We start from the raw sequence: 24,545 nt of genomic DNA, 5'->3' as shown, positions 1-24,545 counted from the left end.
GAGGTCAGATTATAAGAGTTAGTCACTTTAACGAAAAATATTAAGTAAATAAAAGTATAGGAGGAAAAAGGATGCGGCGATCAAAGGAATGCAGCTATAAACAGGGTGCTTACAGAGGTGAGTATTGGGGAGACAAACGTGGCTGGAGAGAGTGGACAGGAACAGTGGAAAGCAAGGCCTGGCCGAATCAGGGGCCCCTGGGCTCAGAGTTGGAGATGTCTGGAATATTCTACCTCTGGCAATGGTGAGTAGGTGTCAGAGGCTCCCACTGAGCGGGGGCCTCTAGACTGGACTTCTGCCCACCTCCTAATATCGTAGGGTTGTGCCTGCTGTGCTTTGGGAAAAGGAACTCTTGTCCCCCACCCCCTGGGACAAGCTGTGCTGTGGTTACAGGGGGCAGAAGAGAGCAGCCTCCATCTGTGTTCTTTCTCTGAGACTCCTTCTCTTAAGTGGGGCAGTGGCAGGAATCTCGGGCTTCAGGATCAGGCAGGGCTGGGTTTTGATCCTGGCCCTGCTGTTCACTGGTTCTGAGGCCCTGGGAAAGTCACCTCACCGCTCTGAGTCTCGGTTGCTTTATCTGTAAAATGGGAGTGATAAGAGTTTTTGAAACATGTGTTCCCCACCTAATTCCCAAAAAGATTTGGAATGGCAGCTGATAGGGATTGTCATGGGCTGGTGAGCTCATGCAGCCTCCAAAGGAGGGGATGAGACACTCGCGACAGCACCTAGTGCAGGACTCAATAAATGTGCATTTTCCTTATGTTGCTAATACAAGGCCCACTGAAACCCCCAGGCCTCCGTTTGCCTGTCTGTGGGAGGAGTGGCCACGGGAAGGCTGAATTGGATGCTCACCAAGATTCCTCCCAGCTTGAGCCCACGTGCGGTGCCTCATGACTGTAATCCCAGCACTTTGGGAGGCCGAGGTGGGTGGATCACCTGAGGTCAGGAGTTCGAGACACAAACTGGCCAACATGGTGAAACCCCATCTCTACTAAAAAATACAAAAATTAGCAGGGCACAGTGGTGCATACATGTAGTCCCAGCTATTTGGGAGGCTGAGGCAGGAGAATTGCTTGAACTTGGGAGGTGGAGGTTGCAATGAGCCGAGATCGCACCACTGCACTCCAGCCTAGGTGACAAAGCAAGACTCCATCTCAAAAATTAAATAAAATAAAAACAGAAATTCCTCCCAGCTCAAACACACCCTCCTTCTAGATTGCTCCAGAAGGTTCCTCTGTGGTCCTCACCTGTGTGGCAGCCTTCTTCTCTATGCTAGTCTTTATTCTGCTCTGAAGAGAACTGGGCAGTAGGGGTTTTGAAGGTCTTCCCATTTCCCCTTTCTTCCCATCTGTCTCAGGGTAGCTGGTTTAGGATCAGAGAGACACAGATTGGAATCCCAACTCTGTCACTGACCAGCCTGGTGAGCTCACATAAGCTCTTCAATCTCTATATGCCTCTGTTTCCTCATCTACAAAATGAAAAGAAAAATAATGGCTTCTTAGGGACTTTGTAGTGAGGAAAAAATGAGACAAGGAACTTGCAAAGGTCCAAGAGGATCCCAGCACAGAGTGGGCAGCCCTGACATGCCTGTCCCTTCCCTTCCCGGCAGAAACTCAGTGTCTCATGTTCCAGAATCACATTCCACAACCTCTCTACACTCTCAGTGACAATTCCAGCATGTTCTCTCTCTCTCTCTTTCTGCTGTGGACACTGCAGGAGGTGAATGAAGATAGGAAACTCTTGTGTATGCGTGTCCAGGGCTCTTGGCTGGGAGTGGAACTGGGGCAAGGGGCAGCTGCCTGGGAGGAGGGCCTTGGCATTGGCCAGAGAATGCAATTAGCGCTGATGAGGCCCAGGGCTCCCTCTCCATATGGGCCTGTTAACTTGGCCACTGTCTTCTTCTCAATAAACACCAATAAACACTTTAGCAAGGCACCAGCCCGAGATGGGGTGGGTAGGAAAAACAGGAGAGAGTCATTAAGATGAACAACAGCTCTCCCCTGTTGAGGGCCTAGCGAGGTTATTCTGAAAGCTTTATTTGCATTCTTTTATTTAATCTTGATCTTTGCTCTTTAAGAATGTATATTAATACTAATAATAACTGCCATTATTTAGTAGTTACTTATCCTGCTGCAGGTGCTGTGTTAAGCACTGTACACACATTTTCTCGATTATTCCTCTAACAATTCTATGAGGCAGGTACTATCACCATCCCCACTTTACAGGTTAGAGTACTGAGGCTCAAATAAGTAACTTGTGCTAGACCAGTGCTTCTCACACTGTAGTGTGCCTATGAAATACCTGAAGACCTTGATAAACTCTAGATTGTTCAGCTTCAGTAGGGCTGTGGTGGGGCCTGAGATTCTGCATTTCTAATCAGGCGATATGGATGCTGCGGGTCATGAGCCACACTTGAGTAAGGAGGTCCTAGACCACATAGCTGGAAGGTGGCTGATCTGGGCTCTGCCCCTGGACACACCATCTCACAACTAAATCAAGTGTGGGGCTGACTTCAGAACAGCACTATAATGAGGGCACAAAGAGAATGTCAGAGAAGGCAAAGAACAGAGAGACTGTTTCTGACCAGATGGTTGAAGGAAGACTGCATGGAGGAGGTGGTGTTTGAGTAGGCCTTAAAGGATGGGTAGAATGTTGACAGAGATGGAAGGGAAAGGACATCTCAGGTCAAGGGAACCCATGAGCAAGAACAGAGAGAGGGAAGAGGGTGATGTGTTTGAGAGATACTATGGCTAAGCATGGGGTATGTTATGGGTTGGAACGTATCCCCAAATTCCTATGTCCAAGTCCTAATGCTCAGCACCTCAGAATGTGACCTTGTTTGGAAATAGGATCACTGCAGATGTATTTAGTTAAAATGAGGTCATGCTGGAGTAGGATGGGCCCCTAATCCAATATGGCAGGGGTCCTTATGAAAAGGAGAGATTTAGACACAAAGATGTATGCTCAGGAAGAATGCCATGTGCACATTGGCGTGATGCTGCCATGTGCTAAGGAGCTACCACGTGTTCCAGGGGGAGCGGCGTGGAACAGATCCTTCCCCGGTGCCTTCGGAGGGAGCATGGCCATGCCAACACCCTGATCTTGGACTTCCACCTCCAGAACTGTGAGACAATAAATGTCTGTTGTTTAAGCCACTCAGTTTGTGGTATTTTGTTACAGCAGTCCTAGCGGACTCATACGGGGTGTCTGTTTGGTGCCTATTGCATCTGTATCAGCAGGTGGCCTCAAGAGAGAAATGCTGTTTTGTGCCTTAGGAGCTGCACTTTTAGCCCCAAGAATATCTCCTGTCTCAAAGGGAAATAGGTCAGGGAGTGGCTAATGGGAGAAACTCGTTCCCTACTGCCTGGGACCTGGTTGAAAGCACAGGTACATGAGGGTGGCTTCCCATTTACAAAGAGCAACACACACACACAGCTAAGGCATAAATCAAAGCATTTCTAAGCACTAAAGTGGACGATTTAAGTTTTTCTTCTTCACTGAGAAGGTCATAGGAGGGGAAATGGGGCATGAACTACCGAGTACTGAGTCCTGCTATGTGTCAAGGACTGTGCTAGGCACTCTTGATGATTTAATTTCATCTCTACCGCACTCTTAGCAGGAAGATCTTGTTATTTTCATGTCACAGAGGATGGAATTGAGGGTCAGAGCATTTAGATCACTTGGCCAAGGACCCACAGATAGAAGTAGCACAGCAGATATTGGGCCCTGGTGGTGCACCTTCTCCTGTCCCCTTTCTCCCGTTACAGCAGGCATAGTGATGGGAAAATTGACCCAGAGCTGGGCCAGGAGTTGAGGAAGGAAATGAGTCTAAGATCAGGAGGTGGGTGGAGAGATCTGCCCACAGAATTTTTACCATATGAGAGAACAGCCCCCTTATTGTCCAAGCTACTTTTAGTTGGACCGTCTGTTATGTGCCACCAAAAGCATCCCAACAGAATCAGTGGCTTAAAATGAGCCAGGTCTTTAGGTATGTGATATATTGTAAGTGCTGATAAACAATAACCCTCTTTCCCCACCCACATTCTGAACCAACTGAGAAATAAGCACCAGAGAAAGGCAGATGGAGCCCCAAATATCACCTTCACTAAAGATAAAGCTGCTCTGGGAGAGATGGTGCTCTGTGGGGAAGTGGGTTGCCTTATGTTGTACTCAGAATAGGCAGACTCGCCCACCCGGGTGTAGGCAGCATTGGGCCGTGGCAGGGACTGGAAGAGCCAAACAGAACCTGGCTCCCCGTGGGCAGCTCATACCCAAGAGACAGTGGGGAGGAAGGGCCTGGGCTACTGCCACTCAGTTCCTTAGCCCAGACTCACCAATGAGATAGGTCACTCAGAGGGGAGGGCACGTGGGGGGTGAGACAGTCAGCAGAGTCATGATAGCTCGGCTCCTGGAGGACTCATCAAGAGTGAGGAAGAGGCTGGGCACGGTGGTTCACACCTGTAATCCCAGCACTTTGGAAGGCTGAGGCAGGCAGATCACTTGAGGCCAGGAGTTCAAGACCAGCCTGGTCAACATGGTGAAACCTCATCTCTGTGAAAAATACAAAACTTAGCGGGGCATGGTAGTGCGTGCCTGTAATCTCAGCTACTCAGGAGGCTGAGACAGGAGAATTGCTTGAACCCAGGAGGCGGAGGGTGCAGTGAGCTGAGATCGCACCACTGCACTCTAGCCTGGGCAACAAAGTGAGACTCCATCTCAAAAAAAAAAAAGGAAAGAGAACAAAAAAAAAGAATGGGGAAGAAATTTTCTTCCAGAAGGGTAAAACTGGAAGGAAGGAAAGAATGAAGGAAGGAAGGAAGGAAGGAAGGAAGGAAGGAAGGAAGGAAGGAAAGAAACGAAAGGAAGGGAAGGAAGAAATAAGGAGGTAAGGAAGGAAATAAGGAAGGAAGGGATAGAGAAATTGTATAGTATAAACTTTTTTCGTTTTTAAAAAAGGGAAAAGCTGCAAGTGTGTATATGTTTGTGTGAATACAGATAGGCATGGAACAGCAAGATTGCCCCAGCGGGAGGGTGGAGAAGGGAAGGAAAGATGATAGGTGGTCTCTAACGGGGTGCGGGGGCAATGCTGTGCAGGGCTCTTGACCACTAGGAGCTGCCAGTCCTGTGGGAAAGCTCAGACAACCTTTAGGACCTCGCCTGGAAGGTGAGATAGGATTATGGGCTCGGGTTGGAACTGGATGGTGCAGATGTTTGGTGGGAGACTGAAGAAGTCCGAGCAGGCTTCACAGAGGAGATGGACACTGACTGGGAGGCTGAGAGTGTAGACCAGGAGTTCTCAAAGTGTGGTCCCCAGACCAGCTCCATCCATGTCACCTGGAAATCTGTTAGAAATACAGACACTTGGGCCCACAGATCTGCTGAATAAGAAACATGGACAATGTTTTAACAAGCCCCCGAGGTGACTCTGATGCTTGCTAGAATTTGAGAACCACCCACGTAGAAGATGCAGCTTTAGAATCAGACCCACATGGGTTTAAATCCTAGCTCTGGTTCTAACAACTCTGTGGCCTTGAGCAACGCAAACAACTTCCATGAGCCTCAGGTTCCTCACTGGGAAAATAGGAATGATTGTCCTACTTTGTACAACAATTATTACTAGGTATGTGTCAAGCACTGTCCTTCATACTGAGGTCCAGAGTTAAAAAGTCATGACCTCTGACCTCAAGGAACTAACAGTCAGTGGGGTGTAATGAGAGCTGACATTTATGGAGCACCTGCTATGTGCCAGACATTATGCTGAGTGCTTTACGCGCATGGTCTCATGGAGTTTTCACAATGCCCCTATGAGGTTAGGACAATTACTATCCCCATTTTCAGATGAGGCTGAGTGACTCGCCGAAATGCACAGAGCCTCTGAGTGTGGACAGCTGAGAGCCAGACACAGGCTGTCCAACTCCAGAGCCCAAGAGAAAGAAACCTCTATGTTGCTGAGCAAGTGGGAAGTATGCCCAGCACACAGGCTCCCTTCCTGGAGAGGAGAGACTAGAGTTGTGAGAGGAGTTCCAGGTAGTGAGGGTGTGAACCTGCCTTGCTATCGGGATGCTCTCCTTGGCTGCTTAGATGTGGGTGTACCTTTTTCCACAGTTTCACACCTATTTCCTAGGGTCTACCTTTTCAAAGCTTTAAAGCATTTGGCCCAAGGCCACGGCCAGAATTCTAGAACAAGGAACAGGTATACTACATTCTCCAGAAAAATTAAAATGTTTAAGAAAGAACTGAGTGTGGAGGGCATGTAAGAATGCAACTGCAACATTCCAGGGCCAATGGCATGAAAAGCATCATCACACCAAAGCATTGTCACACCAAAGCATCGTCACACCAAAGCATCGTCACAACAAAGCATCGCCGTCATGTCGAATTATTGGTTGTGCTTAACTTTGGTTAATCACTGTTTGCTCCTCCCTACCTTTACTGCCCCGTGCTAGATTCATCATCTGCTGTTCTCGGATTTGCTCTGTGTCCCCAGAGGCCGGCCACTGCAAACCCCATCTTCATCTGTCCTTGGCTTTGGCTTCCAGTAGGAGGTACCAAGAGGAGACTGCAAGGAAGGAAGAAAGAGAGATTGGGGCCTTTATCCTCCCCACTCCTACGTGTCTGGCTACGGTGGGTCTTTCAGTGGCCAGAGCCCCTGTGGAGTTCCCTCTTCTGTGGCTCCAGCTCTCACCAGCAGCTAGTCCCTCCCCTTGTGCCTTAAGGTCTTGTCCTTTAATGGTAACAGTTCTCTGCTATTGCCAGAAAGCTATTCACTATCCCTTATGGCTTCCCTTAACCCTGCCCACACCTCAAAAATAGTCTCTTTATTATGCTGTCTTCCTGGTAAACCTTTTGGGCACTCCATCTGTTTCTCAGTGGGATCCTTGCTGATGCAGACACCAAGGCATATAGTTAACAACAACAAAGGCTAGCATTTATGGGGTGCTCACCATATGCATGGCCTTGTTCTAAGTGCTGTACGTGTTTTAACTCATTTAATCCTCCCTCTGGAGTAGGTGCCTTCGGGCATTATTCCCGAATGGATGCTAGTTACCCTTGGCCAATGAACTTCAGGCATCGTTCCAGATGAAGGAAATAAGATGGTAAATCAAACGGAAGCTCCTATAATATCTGACTTTTATTACTGTGCCTAGGAGAGTGATGTTGCAGAGTCCAGATGCCTTTCTCAGTGACAGCCTCTAGTCTGGTTTACTTTTGCATGGCCCCCTGAACAAGCTCTTTGAGTGCTGGAAGCATTTCCCATGCGGCTGGGTTCCTCCCAGGACCCCGTGCAGGGCTGTGGAACCAGCAGCAGAAGCTCCAGGAGCTCCTGTGGACTGGTCAATTGGCTGATATGTGTGGCTGAATGAGGAGATGCTTTTAGAGTAGCTGCTGCCAGGGGAAAATTCCAAGTGCAAAATATTATTATTAATTATCACAATTGCTCTTTCAGCTGCAGGCACTGTGTCTGCTTAGAAGGAAGAGATAAGGCATCCCTGCCAAAGTAAAAAAGACTGATTAATGCTGACGGATTTTGTCCTCTGAGAGGAGGCTGCAGAGTATTATTATTATTTTTTTAATGACTTTGAGACTGAAGTTTTTTTTTTTTTTTTTTTTTTTTTTTTTTTTTTTGTTTAAAAACCTAGACTTGAGACCTGGCTTGGTGCAAGGCTGTGTGTCCTTGAGTGAATTACTTAACCTCTCTGTAACTCAGAGTCTTCATTGCTTAAATGAGAAAAAGTTAGAACTAGGTAATGTCTAAGACTCCTTCTAGTAGCTCCCCAAAGACGCTGGGCAGTGCAACACTAAGGCCCCACTAAGGAGAGTGGGTTTACCCATTCTCTCTCCTACTAATGGGGCACTCCCAAAAGCTAGTGCACACCTGTCCCCTGGGTTCTTCACTATGTGAGAGTAGAACTTGTCCTACTTCTACTGCTGTGACTGAGGCGAAGGTCATGGCCACGGTGGGGAGAAGGACAGAGTTCAGGGCCTAACACAGAGTTTCTTCTTCTTCCCCACCCCCAACCTCCATCTCTTCTCCTTCCTCCTTCTTCTCCATAATCACAATAACAGCTATAACAAGAGCAGCAACAGCGACCTCCAACTGCCCTGCTGGAGCCCTTCCATGCTGCCCAGTCCCTCTTATCAGCACTCTATAGAAATCCATCCTTTTAATCCTATGATACCTCGATGAGGGATGTATCATTCTTACTCTTTCTTTGCTGATGAGGAAGTGGAGGGATGGAGTTTTAAAGTCATTTCTCTGAGTTCACACAGCCAGGAAGCAGCATCTATTCTTACAGCTGGAAAGACCTTCAGAGCCACCAGTTCTCAACGCTGGCTGCACATGGAACCATCTAGGGAGTCACAGCGCTGATGCTCAGCTTCCACCCTAGAGGTTCTGATTTAGTTGGTTTGGGGGGCAGCAGCTTGGTATCTGTGGGGGGCGTTAATTTCCCCCAGATGATTCTAATGTGCAGCAAAGCTTAAGAACCACTAATTTAGTCCAATTACCTATTTTACAGGTAAGGGAATTGGGGGTCAAAGAAGGGAAGTGGATTTCCCTCGAGCGTGGGCCCGCCCTGCGGCCCTCCTGGTGGGAGCACTGGGGAAGAGACACTCTGAGTTCAAGGAGCTCATTTTGCTCTATGCAGCCCCCTCAGAGCCCAGTATCTTTGGATCTCCCCAGGATATCCCACGGGTGATCCCCACTGTCTCCCTACCCTAGCCATCCCTTTGACTAGGTTGACTCCAGTGAAATCTTGGGGTAATTGAGGGACCCCAGGAAGGGGCCAAGGCAGAGGAAATGGAGACTTTCCTGGGGTCGGCCCTGGGGACTTAATTATCTTTTACTGTTGCCTGAAGCCTTTGTTCTCATCCTCCCCAGCATATGATCTTCTGAGCCCATCTACACAGGTTTGAACTGGCAGAGATTAATAGTGTCTGACCCACCCTGAGCACTGGTGTTGAGGACACCAACCCCAGGCCGGAGAAGCCAGGAACTTGGTCTGAAACAAAAAACGTAAGAGTGACTGACAGTCTAAGAAGTGCTTCCTGTGGGCCAGGCACCATGAACATTGTTTCATTTAAGCTTCACAAATACGAGAGGGAAATATGAGAAATTTGGTGTTTCAATTGTGGAAATAGAAGCCTAGAGAGGTTACATGATTGCCCGGAGTATATCAAATAGTAAGTGACAGATAGAGGTTTGAATCCAGGTCACTTGCTGATGTCAATCTAAGTGAAACCTCCTCCAGGAAGCCTTCTCTGAACACCAGAAGAGTCCTTTTGTATACTCTGGCATTCTCTATGTGTTACTTATCTCCCTTTATAATCAGTCACTCATCAGTGTAGCTCTGCTCTTCCACTAGACTAAGTTCCTTAAGGAGGACTGTTTTTGCCCACACATCTCCATCCCATCAATATGTATCCGCTGAAAGAAAGAAAAGGCAAATGGTCCAACCAATTCCAAAGTCAATGCTTCTACCCACGCCACAGTTTCACAGATTTCCCCAAAATGTATATCAACTAGTTAGAAATGGTCTCCAAAATTAGCCTCTTCTAAGAAAGAAGGGTTCCCAGAAGGAGAAAGCCCTGGAGTCCTTGCTGCATTGAGGATAGAGAGATACTGGACGTGGTGGCTTACGCCTGTAATCACAGCACTTTGGGAGGCTGAGGTGGGCGGATCACCTGAGGTCAGCAGTTCGAGACCAGCCTGGCCAACGTGATGAAACCCCATCTCCACTAAAAATACAAAAATTAGTCAGATGTGGTGGCACATGCCTGTAGTCCCAGCTACTTGGGAGGCTGAGGCAAGAGAATCACTTGAACCCAGGAGGTGGAGGTTGCAGTGAGCCAAGACCGCACCATTGCACTCCAGCCTGGGCAACATGAGCGGAACTCTGTCTTGGGAAAAAAAAAGAGAGAGAGAATACCTGAGAATTTTTAACCCAAGGAGTCTATCAAAGTTGCAGATCCCTTATGGCTCTTTATTGCATCACTGGAGGCTGAGTGGCCTAAGCTGCACAGAGGGAGAGCTGACCATTCAACTGGGTCATCAAAATTCCCTAAGCATAGGTTATGTGCCAAGTTGTAGCATTTAGCTACACAAAGCAGAAGCCCAGCCAGTGGATTAACCAAACTGGGAATTGGTTTTTGCATCTAATGACCATTGAGACGAAGGAAGTCCTAGGCTGCTGCAGCTGCTCAAGGAGATCCTGAGGACTCAGGATCCCTTCAGGCACCTGCGCAGCTATCCCCAGTGTGTCTTGCATCCTCATGGTCTCAAGATGACTGTTCCACCTCTATGTGTGGAGTCTAAGCTTCTAGGTGGGAAGATGGGGTAAAGGTGGTTAGAAATGAAGGCCAAAGGTAAAGAGCCCCCTGGGGCTGACCTTTTATCAGGAAAACAACAGCTTTGCTAGAAGCACACCCTATAGAGTTCAACTTGCATCTCACTGGTCCAAACTGGGTCGTATGGCATCGGAGCTTCAAGGGAGCCTGGGACACGAATATCTTTAATAAAGCATGTTGCCCATCTGGGATTCTATTGGAAAGGAAGATGGGAAGGATGGATATTGGGCAGGTCACTGGCAATACCTGTCATCTAGGCTCTGTGCTAGGTGAGCAGAATATACAGATGACTAATATATATGCACCCCGCTTCCACCATGGAGCATAATGCCTTGTAGAGGAGCCAGTCATGGGACCAACCTTTTACAGTACAACATAGATAACATTAGAAGAGTGACAGAGCACAGAAAAGTGAGTAGGTGAAATTAAGTAGATTACCTGGGGGAGCTGGAATAGCTATCACAAAGAAGATGACGTTTGCGATGGATGACAATGGGACAGGAATGTTCAGGGAAACAGAGCAAGGGCTTGGCCTTTGGAAAGCTGGTCCCCAAACACCCTGTTGGCCCCAGCTCCTGGAATTACCCCACTCTGAATGCTTTGCATCCACCTATAACTAGCTCTATTTTTCCTTCTTTGGGATGGATCTTGGAAAATGAGTAGGAGTTCTCCAGACAACAGTGAGAACTTTCAAACTCCGATTACCATGTAATCTTTCAGCCTCAGTTTTTGGGATTAAGACATTCTGCATGCTTTAGAGCTCCAGACAATTTACCATTCCACATATTCCATACTCTGTTATATCTCCGTGCCCTTCTACAAAATGGCTTTTTTACTGCCTGCAATGCCCCTCCCCTTTCATTCTCTAGGATATGGCTCTCCTGTGGTGGTGACTCATCCTCGGCCAGCTGTTTAGAGGGCGAGAAAGGACTTCATCTGAGTGAAATGTACGCAGGAAGATGGAGAGCAGTCACACAGCCCCGCTGCAGAACTTGGCTTTGCTGGTCTTAGAAACGAGGGAGGAGGAGAAATGACAACCAATCATCTGAGAGAACACTGAGGCATCAGCTGGTGCCCACAACAACCCTGTGTGGTAGATATTTTTATATCCTTTTGAGAGCCTGGGAAACCGGAACTCTGCGAGGTGAAGCAATTTGCCACCCTCCCACCCCACTGCAGAGCAATAAGTGACATATTTAGATTTGAGTCTTGCCCATCCAGTGCTGAAGTCCATGGTCCTTTCATCAAACCACAAAATCTTCTTGGTGGCTTTCCTGGTCCTGGGTTCTGCCTTCTTTCTGGAGGTCAGCCCTTCCATCTGGAGGTTTTACTTCTGGCTCTGCAAGATGAAGAGCTTCTACCTTGAGTTTCCCTCCTACCCTGCACCCTTGTTGTGAGCTACAGCGGTGGTTCTCAACCAAAAAAGAGCGTATAGACATCTTTGATTGTCACAAACTGGCAGGTAGATGCTACTGATATCTAAGAAAGGAGAGGCCAGGGATGCTTCTCCACACCTTGCAGTGCACGGGACCACCTCAACCCTGCCCAATAAAAATTATCCCCCCATAAAAATTATCCAATAAAAATTACCCCCATAAAAATTATCCAATAAAAATTATCCCCCATAAAAATTATCCAATAAAAATTACCCCCCATAAAAATTATCCAATAAAAATTATCCCCCATAAAAATTATCCAATAAAAATTACCCCCCATAAAAATTATCCAATAAAAATTACCCCCATAAAAATTATCCAATAAAAATTATCCCCATAAAAATTATCCAATAAAAATTACCCCCCATAAAAATTATCCAATAAAAATTATCCCCCATAAAAATTATCCAATAAAAATTACCCCCCATAAAAATTATCCAATAAAAATTACCCCCATAAAAATTATCCAATAAAAATTATCCCCCCATAAAAATTATCCAATAAAAATTATCCCCCATAAAAATTATCCCTCCAATAATTATTTTATTATCCCAGTAAAAATTAACTCGGCCTGTAATTCCAGCACTTTGGGAAGCTGAGGCGGCCGGATCACCTAAGGTCAGGAGTCCGAGATCAGCCTGGCCAACATGGTGAAACCCCATCTCTACTGAAAATACAAAAATGAGCTGGGTGTGGTGTCACACGCCTGTAATCCCAGCTACTCGGGAGGCTGAGGCAGGAGAATTGCTTGAACCTGGGAGGTGGAGGTTGCAGTGAGCTGAGTTGCACACCAGCCTGGGCGACAGAGCAAGACTCCGTCAACAATAAATATATAAATAAATAAATAAAAGAAAAAAATTAGCCCAAAATATCAGTAGTGCTGGGGCTGAGAAACCCAAGTTAATCTCCTGTATTCTTCCCGAACACCAAGAGAGCAGGTTCTTTCTGGAAGGTTTCCTGAGCACTTTTTGCCATATTCTCACCTCCCTTTGCTGACTCAGTGCAAGGCAGCAAGCTGGTTGGGTTTTCTGCTCACGTGGGTTCTCCCTTCTTCACCCACGTCCTGTATTCTTGTTCATCGTAATTCCATTCTCTGTAGTTCCAATTCTTATGAAGAACTTGGGCTCTAAAGCCAGGTTATCTGGGGTTTGAATTGAGAGCCTAGGCCTTACCTGGGCCAAGTCCTTGAACTCCTCTAAGACTCAAGGTCCTCATCTTTAAAATGGAGATAAAATAGCATAAACTTCTTTAGGGTGGTTTTGAGGCTTTCATGGGATAACTTATGTAAATCGGAGTACCTAGGCAGATGGTAACTACTCAAAATGTATCTGGCATTATTATTATTCTGAGAGTCTAACCTTATTTGTTAGCTTTTTTTTTTTGAGCCATTTCATTTCCTTGAAAGGCATCTGGGATGGGGCAAGAGGAAGACACTGGAGTGAGGTACCCCAGAGCACCAATCCCAGCTCTGCTAACTTGCTGGCTGTGCCTGAGTCCTCATCTGTGAAGCTGGCGTAATATCTCTTCATAATTCTTTTTTTTTGAGGCAGGGGTCTCGCAGTGTTGCCCAGGCTGGTCTCAAACTCCTGGGCTCAAGGAATCCTTCCACCTCAGCTTCACAAGTAGCTGGGGCTACAACCCCACACCATTAAGCCTGGGCTAACTTCATAATTCTTGCCAGGATTAAGCTAGTTAACTGTCTGACACTTAATAGGTGTTCAGCAAATGTTAGCCACCCACTCTTTCTATTTCTGAGTCTTCCTGGGCATTGATAAATGGAGCTTCTGACGCATCTTATTTACATCAAACTTGTAGATTATTCTTGCCTGAGAATAATTAGGGAAGGCAATCTCTCTAGCCCGGGTGAGGCAGGACTGAGATTGTGCTATCCTTCTCCAACATGGTATCAATAAAGCTTTGGTAAAACTCAATAAATAGACTCATTTGGCCATCTGCAGTGGAATTCAATACCGAGAGCATTGTTTAGAAATGGCACTCCTAGCCTGCAGGAGGTGAAGATGAAAGTGCATTTGCTTCATTTCTCTGTAGGAGTTAGCAAGTGGAAGAGACGTGCTTTGACAATAGTTGGGGAAAGAGGGTGTTATACTGAAATCTTCCACATAGCCCTCCAGACCCACTCTCCACCCCTCTTTACTCTGCTTCTGCCACAGAAGTCTGGACCATGTGGACCACGTCAGTGAGTTCTGCCATTTGTGAGCCTTGCCTGGCGTGGGAGGGAAGAGTCAGGTGCGGGTATTTATTTCCCTGCCCCCGCTCCCCGCAGCATCACTGCAAGCTGGCTGATCTCCAAAGACCACAGCTTTTATCCAGGCAACTCTCTCTCCACAAAATGTTCTTTCTCTTCGGCTTCCTGCTAACTGTCCCCTTCCTTCTCTTTGGCAGCCCAGGGTGGTACTGGTTCCCCATGTTGCTCGCCCCCACAGTGTTGCGCCCTCCCTATGTTGCCCCATACCCTGCCCACATCTTCCAGGTAGTCCTTTTATTAAACTCAACTCAAATTACACAAATGGAGAGTGGCATCTATTTCTTGCTAGCGTGTTCATGGATAAGGTAATGAACATTCCACTGAGTATTTTCTTGCAAGTTCCTGGTCCACTTTGTGATGATGTGTATGAGTTTGCTGGAGCTGCTGTAACAAAGTCCCACAGACTGGGTGGCTGAAGCCACAGAAATGGATTTTCTCACAGTTCTTGGAGGCTAGAAGTCCAAGGTCAATGTGTTAGCAGAGTGGGTTCCTCCTGAGCACTGTGAGAGAAGGATCTATTTCAGGCCTCTCTCTTGGCTTGTAGGTGGCCATCTTTTTTCTGTGTCATCAAACTGTCTTCCCTCTGTACTTGTCTATGTCCAAATTTCCTCTTCTTTTAAGGATACTTGTCATATCGGATTAGGGCCCATCCTAATGACCTCATTTTAGTTGAATTATCTCCTTAAAGACCTTATCTCTAGATACAGCTATATGATGAGGTACTGGAGGCTGGGACTTCAAGATATGAATTGGGCGGGGGGGGGGGGATGGGCACGATTCAGCCCTTAACATGGCGGTTGAGAAATGGGAATGTGATTATTGGGCAGGAACAAAACATGTTGAAGGCCTGAAGATACAGTAACATTCAAGAGCGAAGAGGTCCCTGCTTTCAAGGGGCTTATGTTCTAGTGGGAACGGGTGAAGCAGGAGCAAGAGCTCCACAAACAAACAAATCCGTATACACTGCAGCATTCTAACAATGACAAGCCCTGGAAGGATAAACCTGGTGTACAATAGAGGGACTGCACTGAGTTGACTTTAGCTAGAGAGATGGAGGTGGCCTCTCTAAGGAGATCTGAAAGCTGATACTCAGAGGAGAGACAGGAATCACCATCTGAATACCCCATTTGGGTGGAACATTCCTGGCAGAGGCAGTGTGGTCAAAAATAAGGAATGAGTTTTTCATAATCGCCATTTTGACTGGCATGAGATGGTATCTTATTGTAGTTTTGATTTCCATTTCTCTAATGATCAGTGATGTTGAGCTTTTTTCATATGTTTGTTGGCCACATGAATGGCTTCTTTTGGGAAGTGTCCGTTCATGTCCTTTGCCCACTTTTTAATGGGGTTGTTTGTTTCTTGTAAATTTGTTTAAGCTCCTCGTAGATTCTGGATATTAGACCTCTGACAGATAGGAATGCTTTTACACTGTTGGTGGGAATGTAAATTAGTTCAACCACTGTGGAAGACAGTGTGGCAATTCCTCAAAGATCTAGAACCAGAAATACCATTTGACCCAGCAATCCCATTACTGGGTATATACCCCTCAAAATGTAAATCATTCTATTACAAATAAACATGCACGTGTATGTTTATCGCAGCACTATTCACAACAGCAAAGACAAAGAATCAACCCAAATGCCCATCAATGATAGTCTGGATAAAGAAAATGTGGTACATATACTCCATGGAATATTATTCAGCCATAAGAATGAACAACATCATGTTCTTTGCAGGGACAAGGATGAAGCCAGAAGCCGTTATCCTCAGCAAACGAATGCAGGAACAGACAACCAAACATTGCATGTTCTCACTTATAAGTGGGAGCTGAACAATGCGAACACATGGACACAGGGAGGGGAACAACACACACTGGGGCCTCTTGAGGGGTGGAGTGGGAGGAGGGGGAGCATTATGAAAAATAGCTAATGCAGGCTTAATATCTAGGTGATGAGTTGATAGGTGCAGCAAACCACCATGGCACATGTTTACCTAGGTAACAAACCTGCACATCCAGCACATGTACCCTGGAACTTAAAATAAAAATAAAACTTTTTTTAAAAAAGGAATGAGGCCTTTCCATCCAGAGAGCAACTTCTGCTGTTGCAGAAAGAGAGAGAATTCGAGGATCATATTGGTTTTGCTGGAGAGAAACTTTAAAAACCAGATCAAACAAGCCTCGCTAGGGTATATGAACATCCCAGGACACTGTGGCACATGACAGTCGGCTCTGAACTTGGACTTTGCCTTTATCCCGTCTTCCATGGGCCTGGCCAGGGAGGCACCCAGAAGAATCTAGGGCAGAGGCTGAGAAACAAAGTTTGGCTCAGCTCCATCCTGTTTTAACCGTCAGGCAGTTCAGGGCGCAGCCGTGCAGACTCTGTGTACAGAGATGACTGGGTGATCCCACCAAACCAATCACAGCTTCCCCTGGGGTTTGCTACGTGGCATGAAGGATTACTGTGCTGGAGCTGGGTTCATATTAAAGTATTAATCTACATTTAAAATGTTTCTCCTGTGTCCATGGGGATCTCAACTCCATATGTTTGCAGGAGCCCTGGGGCCAGCAGTGTGTTTGATTTTGAGTGTTTTAAAATGAAGGCTAAAGGTGGCTCATAATAAAGCAGCGTGAGGAACAGCACAGAGGTCAAGACTCCCCTTGAGTAAATATTGACTGACAAGAGGCTTTCCTTCCCACAAACAGCTCTGAAGCTATTAGCTTATAGCAGACCCTAGAGACCATCTCCTTCTACTGGTTCAGCACCCCCAGGTTTAGACTCTTCCCTCCCCTCTTCCCTTCCTTTCTCCCTTCTTCCCTTTCTCCCAAAAATGCATTGAGCTGACAACCTGTGTTAGTTTCCTACAATTTCTGTAACAAATGACCTCAAATTCGGTGACTGAAAACAATGCACATTTATTATCTTCTATTTATTATCAGTTCTGGAGCTCACAAGTGTAAAATGGGTCTCACTAAGGCTACAATCACGGCGTCCATCGGCAAAGCTGCACTTCCTCTGCAGGCTCTAGGGAAGAAGCCATCTCTGCCTTTTTCAGCTTCTAGAGGCTGCTGATTCCTTAGCTCATGGTCCCTTCTTCCATCTTCAAAGCCACAGTGGCCAGTCAAATCTTTCTCATGTCCCCTCACTCTGACATGGATGCTCCTGCCTCCGTCTTTCATGTACAAGGACCCCTGTGGTTACATAAGGACCCACCGTGGTAATCCAGAGTCACCTCCCTATCCCAAGATCCTCAATTTAATCACATCTGCAAAGTCCCTTGTGCCATGTAAGATGATTTATGCACAGGTTCTGGCATTTGTACAGGGACTTTTTTGGGGGCTGTTACTCTGCCTACCACACCACCCCTCACACAGTTTAATTTTCCCAATCTATATGTTTTCAAAGCACCTATACTCCTTACTCACAGTGGCCATCAACATTGTAGTTCACTGCTTAGTTGTAAAAATTATTGATTTAATGTCTGTTCCCTTTCTGGACAGAAAGCACCCCCTAACCAGGGAGGTGATTATAGATGTGTTGACTATCCCTATTATTTTCTCAGAGGTTCCTAGCAGCCTAGGCAAGAAAGGAAACATGTTGACAAGGAAGGAAGAAGAGAAAAGAAAATAGCTGACACTTAATGACCACTCACCCTGTGCCAGCAATGTTCCGAGTGCTTTTAACCTATTTAACCAATATGTTGTGAAGAAAAGGCTGTCATCTAACACAAGCAAGTGGCACAGCTGACATTTGAAATTTCTCATCTTAACCACTTCATCATAGAAATGAATACTCTTAAACAGTACTTCATGTGCTATAATAGAAGTCTGAGAGGTGGAAATGAAGGAGGGGAAGACCAATTTTCTAGAGATGTCAGGCAAAACTTTCCAGAGGATATAATGAATAAGTAGAGCCTTAGAAGCCAGTGGTGAGGGTGGGGAAAGTGGAGCAGGGTGTTCTACGCAGAGGAGGCTGTGTGAACAAAGGCCCAGGCAGGAAATGGCTTGGCGTTTTCTAGAAATTGAAAGTAGTATAGTATTGCTGGCACTTACATGGTGAAAGGCAGGGCACAGAAAAAGAGATGAGGCCTAAGAGGGAGGTGGACGTGCCATGCCTGAAGTTGCTGAGGCTGCTGTAGGCCATGCCTTTGTTACAGGAAAGGGAGCCTGATTCAGACCCCAAGAGAGGGTTCTTGGATCCTGCACAAGAAATAATTCAGGGCAAGTCCATAGGGTAAAGTGAAAGCAAGTTTACTAGGAAAGTAAAGGAATACAGAATGGCTACTCCATAGACAGAGCAGGCCCGAGGGCTACTGGTTGCCCATTTTTATGGTTATTTATTGATGATGTGCTAAACAAGGGGTGGATTATTCATGCCTCCCCTTTTATTTTATTTTATTTTTTTACTTTTTTTCGATTATACTTTAAGTTCTGAGATACATGTGCAAGAACATGCAGGTTTGTTACACAGGTATACCTGTGCCATGCTGGTTTGCTGCACCCATCAACCCATCATCTACATTAGGTATTTCTCCTAATGCTGTCCCTCTCCTACCCACCCCCCAACCCCCTCAACAAGCCCCAGTATATGATGTTCCCCTCCCTGCCTCCCCTTTTTAGACCATATAGGGTAACTTCTTGATGTTGCCATGGCATTTGTAAACTGTCATGGTGCTGATGGGAGTGTAACAGTGAGGAACATCAGAGGTCACTGTAGTGGCCATCTTGGTTTTGGTGGGTTTTAGCCAGCTTCTTTGCTGCAACCTGTTTTATCAGAAAGGTCTTTATGACCTGTGTCTTGTGCTGACCTCCTAATTTATCCTGTGACTTAGAATGCCTTAACCATCTGGGAATGCAGCCCGGTAAGTCTTAGCCTTATTTTACCCAGCTCCTATTTAAGATGGAGTTGCTCTGGTTTGAATGGTTCTGACACCTGCCTGGACTTCAGACATAATCCTAGGGAAAATGGGAAGCCACTTTTGATACCAAGTTTTTCACAAAATCAATTTGCTTGCCACGTGGAGAAAGGATTGCAGGACTGGGATGCTGAAGGTGAAGTGGCAACCGGAGAGGGCATGAATGGAGAATCCAAAGATTTTGCAGCTTCAGTCCAGGGCATCCTCAGTCACCATCTGGACCCTCCCAAAGGCCTCGCCACCACCCACAAAGGGAGGGTAGGGGAAGTAGCAAGCCTCCTGCTGTTTGGAATAAAGAGATGTAAACTCCAGTCTCTGCTTCGAAACCAGTCAGAGGGAGTAAAGTGAGCTGAAGAGAAATGCACTTAATCCTTAACTCATAGCCCCTTCCTCCAAGAAGCCAGCTTTGCTTAACTCATGCAGAAATTATTTCTCCTTCCTGTGAATGCCTCCCATTAATGCTTCTGCCATTCATTCATTCAATCAATGAATATAAACTGAGCACCTATTATGTGCCAAGTGCAGTGTTAGATGCCATGTTAGAAATAAACAATCTTAACTTATTCTCTACACTTGTGGAGTTCATTATTTAGTGAGAAAATAAAACATCAAACAAATAAATTCTTACCCTGTAACATGATTTTAAGTGTGGCAAGCCCCATGAAGAAGTTTAGGGTGCTTGGAGATGGTGGGAAGGGGAATTTGATTATGGTAAAATGCATTTTCTGCTCCTATTCTTTACCTCTCCTTGCATTCTCAAACTTGTCATGTGACTTTGAAGTTTCTTCCATAACATCAAAGTATATTTCCACAACCCCTTGACTTTGGGCTTGGCCATGTTACTGGCTTTGGCCAGTAAGATGAAGTGGAGGTGACAGTGAGCTAATTCTAAGCATGGGCCTTGACAGGTCTTAGTGTGTTCCCACTTGCCCTCTTGCTCCTCTGCCATCACCTTGAAAACATGCCTTGGTTGGCCTGCTAGTCTCATGAGGATGATGAGAGACCTGTGGAGCAGACCCATCCCAGCTGAACTGCCTTAGCTAAGTGAAGCCTAGGAGCCCCGATTGGCTCCTCATCCCTGAAGATGAATGAGAGAGGCCAGCCAAGGTTAGCAGAACTGCCCAGCCAATCCCAATCCAGGCCAGCTCCTCTAGCTAAACTGCACATTTGGGAGTTCATTAATGCTTAAGTTGTCAGTTGCTGAGATTTTTGTGGCTATTTGTTACGCAGCATTCTTGTTTATAGTTAACTGTTACACTGACTTAGTCTGAACAGCCTATGGCAGGGTTCCCTAAAGAAATGGCATGTCAGTGAAAACTAAATTAAGTTGGTAAAGGAAGAGATGAGGAGCATTTCAGGCTGAGGGAGCAAAATGAGCAAAAGTCCTGAAACAGGAAGGACATGAACTTTTAAGAGAGAAAGTGAAAAAAATCAGGAGTTCCTAGGGGTGAGCATATAGAGAGCCAAGGGTGACCAGGCATGGTGGGAGAGACGGGCAAGGAAAGGATACAGGTATCTGCCTTTCGCATGGCACTGAGCAAAATTAATGTCCTGTAGCATTGTGCATTTTCGTGATGTTCCCAACTATAGTGATCCCTTTGAAGAAAAGTTGATGATTTTTATCTTGTCTCCTCTCACCCTACCAGAGCAATGCCCCACATCACAATAAACGACCAATATCTTTGGTGTATGAAAGAGCTGAACTAATGACAGAGGTGCTGAAATAACAGCTTCTTGGCTTCTCTTAAACCTTGGACACTGACTACAATTTTTCTTCCTTGGTAATTAGTTCATTCATAACACTATTGTTTGAAATGAACAATATTTCACCCCATCACTCCCTGTTTTCCTGTTGAGCTTTTTGTTTCCTCATAACATTTGTCACTGCTTGCCATTACATTTACAGAATTTTTTTTTTTTTTTTTTGGTATCTGTCTCTTCTATTAGAGAGCAGGGACTTTGTCTTGTTCATGATCATATCCTCCATATCTAGGATTGTGCCTGACGCAGTTGTAGATGCACAAAAAATATTTGTTGAATGAACGCATAATCAGACGATGAAACACTTAATGCTAAACAACGCTTTAAAAAGTGCAACACAGAAGTTAGAGTGTTAATTATCAGTTGGTTCAGTAAGAAAGTAGGGCAAAATTTATTTATCTGGGATGGGGAGAATCCATGGGCACAGCAAAAGGAATGATGAAATCATCTATGATTCTTACTAGGATAGGTGGAACCAAACACAATATGTGACCAAAAACATGGGGTGTGGGCCTATCAGCACCTCAATATCATAGCCCTTATATTTATAGAACACTTGTCATTTTATAGTGTTCCTTCCCATACTCACTCACTTTGTACCCATCCCATGCCTGAAATATATATTGTAGTGTATAGGGATTATTATTTCCTTTGATAGATAAGAAAACCTAGGTTGGTGAAATTTAATTATTTGCTGAAATGGATTTAGGGACTTGCTATGGTTTAAATGTTTGTCTTCTTCAAAATTCATGTTGAAATTTAATTGCCATTTTGAAAGTATTGGGAGGTGGAATTTCTAAGAGGTGGTTTAGGTCATGAGGGATCCACTCTCATGGATGGACTAATGTTGTTATCATGGGAATAGGTTTGTTATTGAGGGAGTGGGTTTGCCCCCTCTTGCTGTCTCTCGCCCTCTCCTTGATCTTCCACCATGTTATGATGCAGCAAGAAGGCCCTTGACAGACGTCAGCACTTTAATATTGGACTTCCTAGTCTACAGAACTGTGAGCCAATACCTTTCTGTTTATTATAAGTTCCCCAGGCTGTGGTATTCTGTTACAGAAGCACAAAATGAACAAATACAGCATTCTATCTTCCAGTTTATCAATCTTTCCATATAGCACAGTTGCCTCATAAGATGTCTTTAAGAAAAAGCAGATGGAGCTGGACATATTTTGAAAAGATGGATGCCAGATAGGTGCATTTTAACCTCACTGTGCCTATAAGATTCTGCAGGATTGGGCTTCTGCCTGCATCTCTAGTTTCACTTTCTGCCTCTTTTTTCCTAGCTCCTAAACTCCAGCTACTTTGTCCCTCCTCATCAAGAGCCTTCCTAGTCCACAGCTTTCCCATATGCTGCTCTCTCTGCCTGGAACACACTTCAGCCCAATTTTCACCTGGATAACTCCTACTTCAGAACTGAGTTTAAATGCCACTTCTTTTTTAAAAAAGACTTGCTTTTTTTACACTCCTTCACTTCTATTCAGTCCCATTTATTTTTAAAGCACCCCGTAACTTATAATTATTCATTTAATATCTGTATCCCAAACTGGATAAGATTTTTGAGGGCAGAGTACTTACCTGTCTTGTTCAGTAGTGGATGCTAAGCCCATGATACAGTTCCTAGTACACAGTAAGCACTCAACCAATATTCTTTGAGTCTAAGAAATGAACAAGTGGTGAGGGAGGGCTGGGCTTTATTGTCTTAAAATTGGAGTCTACTCCTTAGGTTTTAAGCATAATTCCCTGTAGTTAAAGGGTTGCAGTATTGTAACAGTTATCTACTGCTATATAACAAACAACTCCAAAACTAGGTGGTTTATAAAAACAACCATTTTGCTTGTTTACAGTTATGTAGGACAGCAATTTTATTTTTTATGTGCAGAAAAACTCCAACAGAGGACAGCAATTTGAGACAAGTTCAGCTAGATCGTTCTGATGGTCTCACCTGAATTAACTCATGCATTTGCTATTATCTGGTGACTGGACTGGGGCTGGATAAGTCACATGCTGATGGGGCTGGATGTTGACTGGGTCACTCTCTCCTTGGGATCTATCATCCTCGAGGATGGTGGTAGTCTCATGGCAGCAAGTAGGGTGATCAGCCATGCTGCTTTGCATGGGACTATCCTGGTTTTAGCAGTGAAAGTCCCATATCCTGGGAAACTCCTCAGCCTTGGGCAGATCAGGATCATTGGTAACCCTACCAACAAGAAAAAAAGAAGGTGGAAGTTACAAAGCCTCTGAGGTCTAGGCTCAGAAATTCCACAGTGGGACTTCTGTTGCATTCTATTTGTCAAAGCATGTTACGAAGCCAACCCAGACTCAAGAGGGTAGAGAAATAGACTTCATCTCTTGATGAGAAATACAGTTAACACATGTTGCAAAGGGAAATGCATACAGGAATAGAAGTGTTTTGTTTTTGCAATCTACTACAGGTTTTATGGAAAGTAAGACCACAGATTCAGAAATGAAAGTAGGGCTTTTTTGTTAATTGAAATATTTGTACTAAGTAGTGAAATATTGAGAGAGCCCCCACTAGTCAAATGTTGAGTGACAACTACATTTCAGTTTCTTAACACATCAAAATTATAAGTTTTCTTTTATATACAAGTACAACCTAAGACAGACACCCCCTTTGGAAAAATGGCTTATGGTCAGCAGATTGAGAGGGATGGTAAAATCTCAGGTAAAGGAGAGAACACTTCTTGGCAATTAAGGGGACAGGAGAGGGAAAATCTTGTAATCGTATGTTAACAATATCAAAAAGCCTATTTCGAGAGTAGTATTGATAAAATGTTTGCCAAGTAAAATATTTGGGATAATAATTTACACTTATATAATGCTTACTGTATGCCAGGCATTATTCTGGTACAGTTGATTTACAACTATTTATACATTCAAACCTCATATTAATAGATGAAGAAACTATAATAAAGGACAAGGTCGCCTACGTAGCGTGTGGTGGAGTCAGGATTTGAACCCAGGTAGTTTGGCTCCATTTGTCTTTCCAGGTGCTGCCATTTTGCTAAGAGTTTAACTTCCGCTTCCTGATTAGCAGTTGGGAATGACAATTTAAACTTCTGTCTGTTATGGAGCTTGCTCTTCCTCCTGAGGGTTAGAGAGAAAGGCCCTGGGTAGCCTCGGGAGTGAGATCTAGAAACAAATCCTCAGCGCCCTGAAGGGCGGCGCTAGAGTTTGATTCCCACCCGGACAAGAGTGGCGGAGACTCTTGCGCAGGTGCAGTGACTTAGTCAGTGCTAGAGCCCCAGGTCCGCGCCCACCTAAAGTAGCCCGCGAGTCCCGCCGTCCGAGGGTCGGGCTGGCCTCTCCCCACCCACGAACATGGCCGTCGAGGTGGGCGAGGGGAGGCGGCAGCGGAGAGGGTTCACGGGGCAGGGCGGAGGACGGGGGTAGCGAGGAGGGTGGGAGCGGAGGGACCAAGAGCAGTCTGGGAAACTCGGTCCCCGAGAGGGCCCGGGGTGTAGGAACGGCTGACGCCCTGGGGCCCGCGGGTGGCCGTGTAGAGCTTCTCGGAGGTCATGGAATGCACCACACCTCAGAGATAATCATCTCAACCCACGCACACATTTCACAGATGGGCAGACTGAGCCCTGTCCCCTCTGGGATCCCTGGAGAGAGCTTCAGTCGCTTACTTTTATTTCTCTGAACCTATATTTCTCATCTGTGAAATGGGATGACCGGTTCCTGCCCGGCCTTTGATTGCACTCTTAATGGGCACTGTGTTAAGTGCTTCTTATTCACAAGATTATTGTGGGGAAATCGAATGAGATGATGAAAGTGAAAGCCATCGGCACGCT

General features: G+C 45.6%; 1 long non-coding RNA gene across 1 annotated transcript, besides 3 other annotated features; it reads right to left on the bottom strand.

Moving 5' to 3' along the window:
- Positions 288 to 1,487: an enhancer, noted in NCBI's record as "MED14-independent group 3 enhancer chr1:20592229-20593428 (GRCh37/hg19 assembly coordinates)". NCBI's record gives its function as "activates an origin of replication core promoter dependent on BRD2, BRD4, P300/CBP and CDK7 cofactors, and independent of MED14, by STARR-seq in HCT116 cells {active_cell/tissue: HCT116}" and the evidence as "EXISTENCE:reporter gene assay evidence [ECO:0000049][PMID:35650434]".
- Positions 17,959 to 18,018: an enhancer, noted in NCBI's record as "active region_319". NCBI's record gives its function as "activates an Ori minimal core promoter by ATAC-STARR-seq in GM12878 lymphoblastoid cells {active_cell/tissue: GM12878}" and the evidence as "EXISTENCE:reporter gene assay evidence [ECO:0000049][PMID:35858748]".
- Positions 18,049 to 18,158: an enhancer, noted in NCBI's record as "active region_318". NCBI's record gives its function as "activates an Ori minimal core promoter by ATAC-STARR-seq in GM12878 lymphoblastoid cells {active_cell/tissue: GM12878}" and the evidence as "EXISTENCE:reporter gene assay evidence [ECO:0000049][PMID:35858748]".
- LINC01757 (long intergenic non-protein coding RNA 1757) lies at positions 22,568 to 24,128 on the bottom strand. The gene is made up of 2 exons (NR_147205.1): positions 24,009 to 24,128; positions 22,568 to 22,927 (listed from the first exon to the last, which is right to left on the bottom strand). It is a non-coding gene; the product is annotated as a long intergenic non-protein coding RNA 1757 (long non-coding RNA).
- Positions 24,129 to 24,545: the final 417 nt, after the last annotated feature.

This window comes from Homo sapiens, chromosome 1, assembly GCF_000001405.40.
Source record: "Homo sapiens chromosome 1, GRCh38.p14 Primary Assembly".
NCBI classification, from domain to species: domain Eukaryota; kingdom Metazoa; phylum Chordata; class Mammalia; order Primates; family Hominidae; genus Homo; species Homo sapiens.
This window is presented reverse-complemented; position numbering and strand designations above follow the sequence as displayed.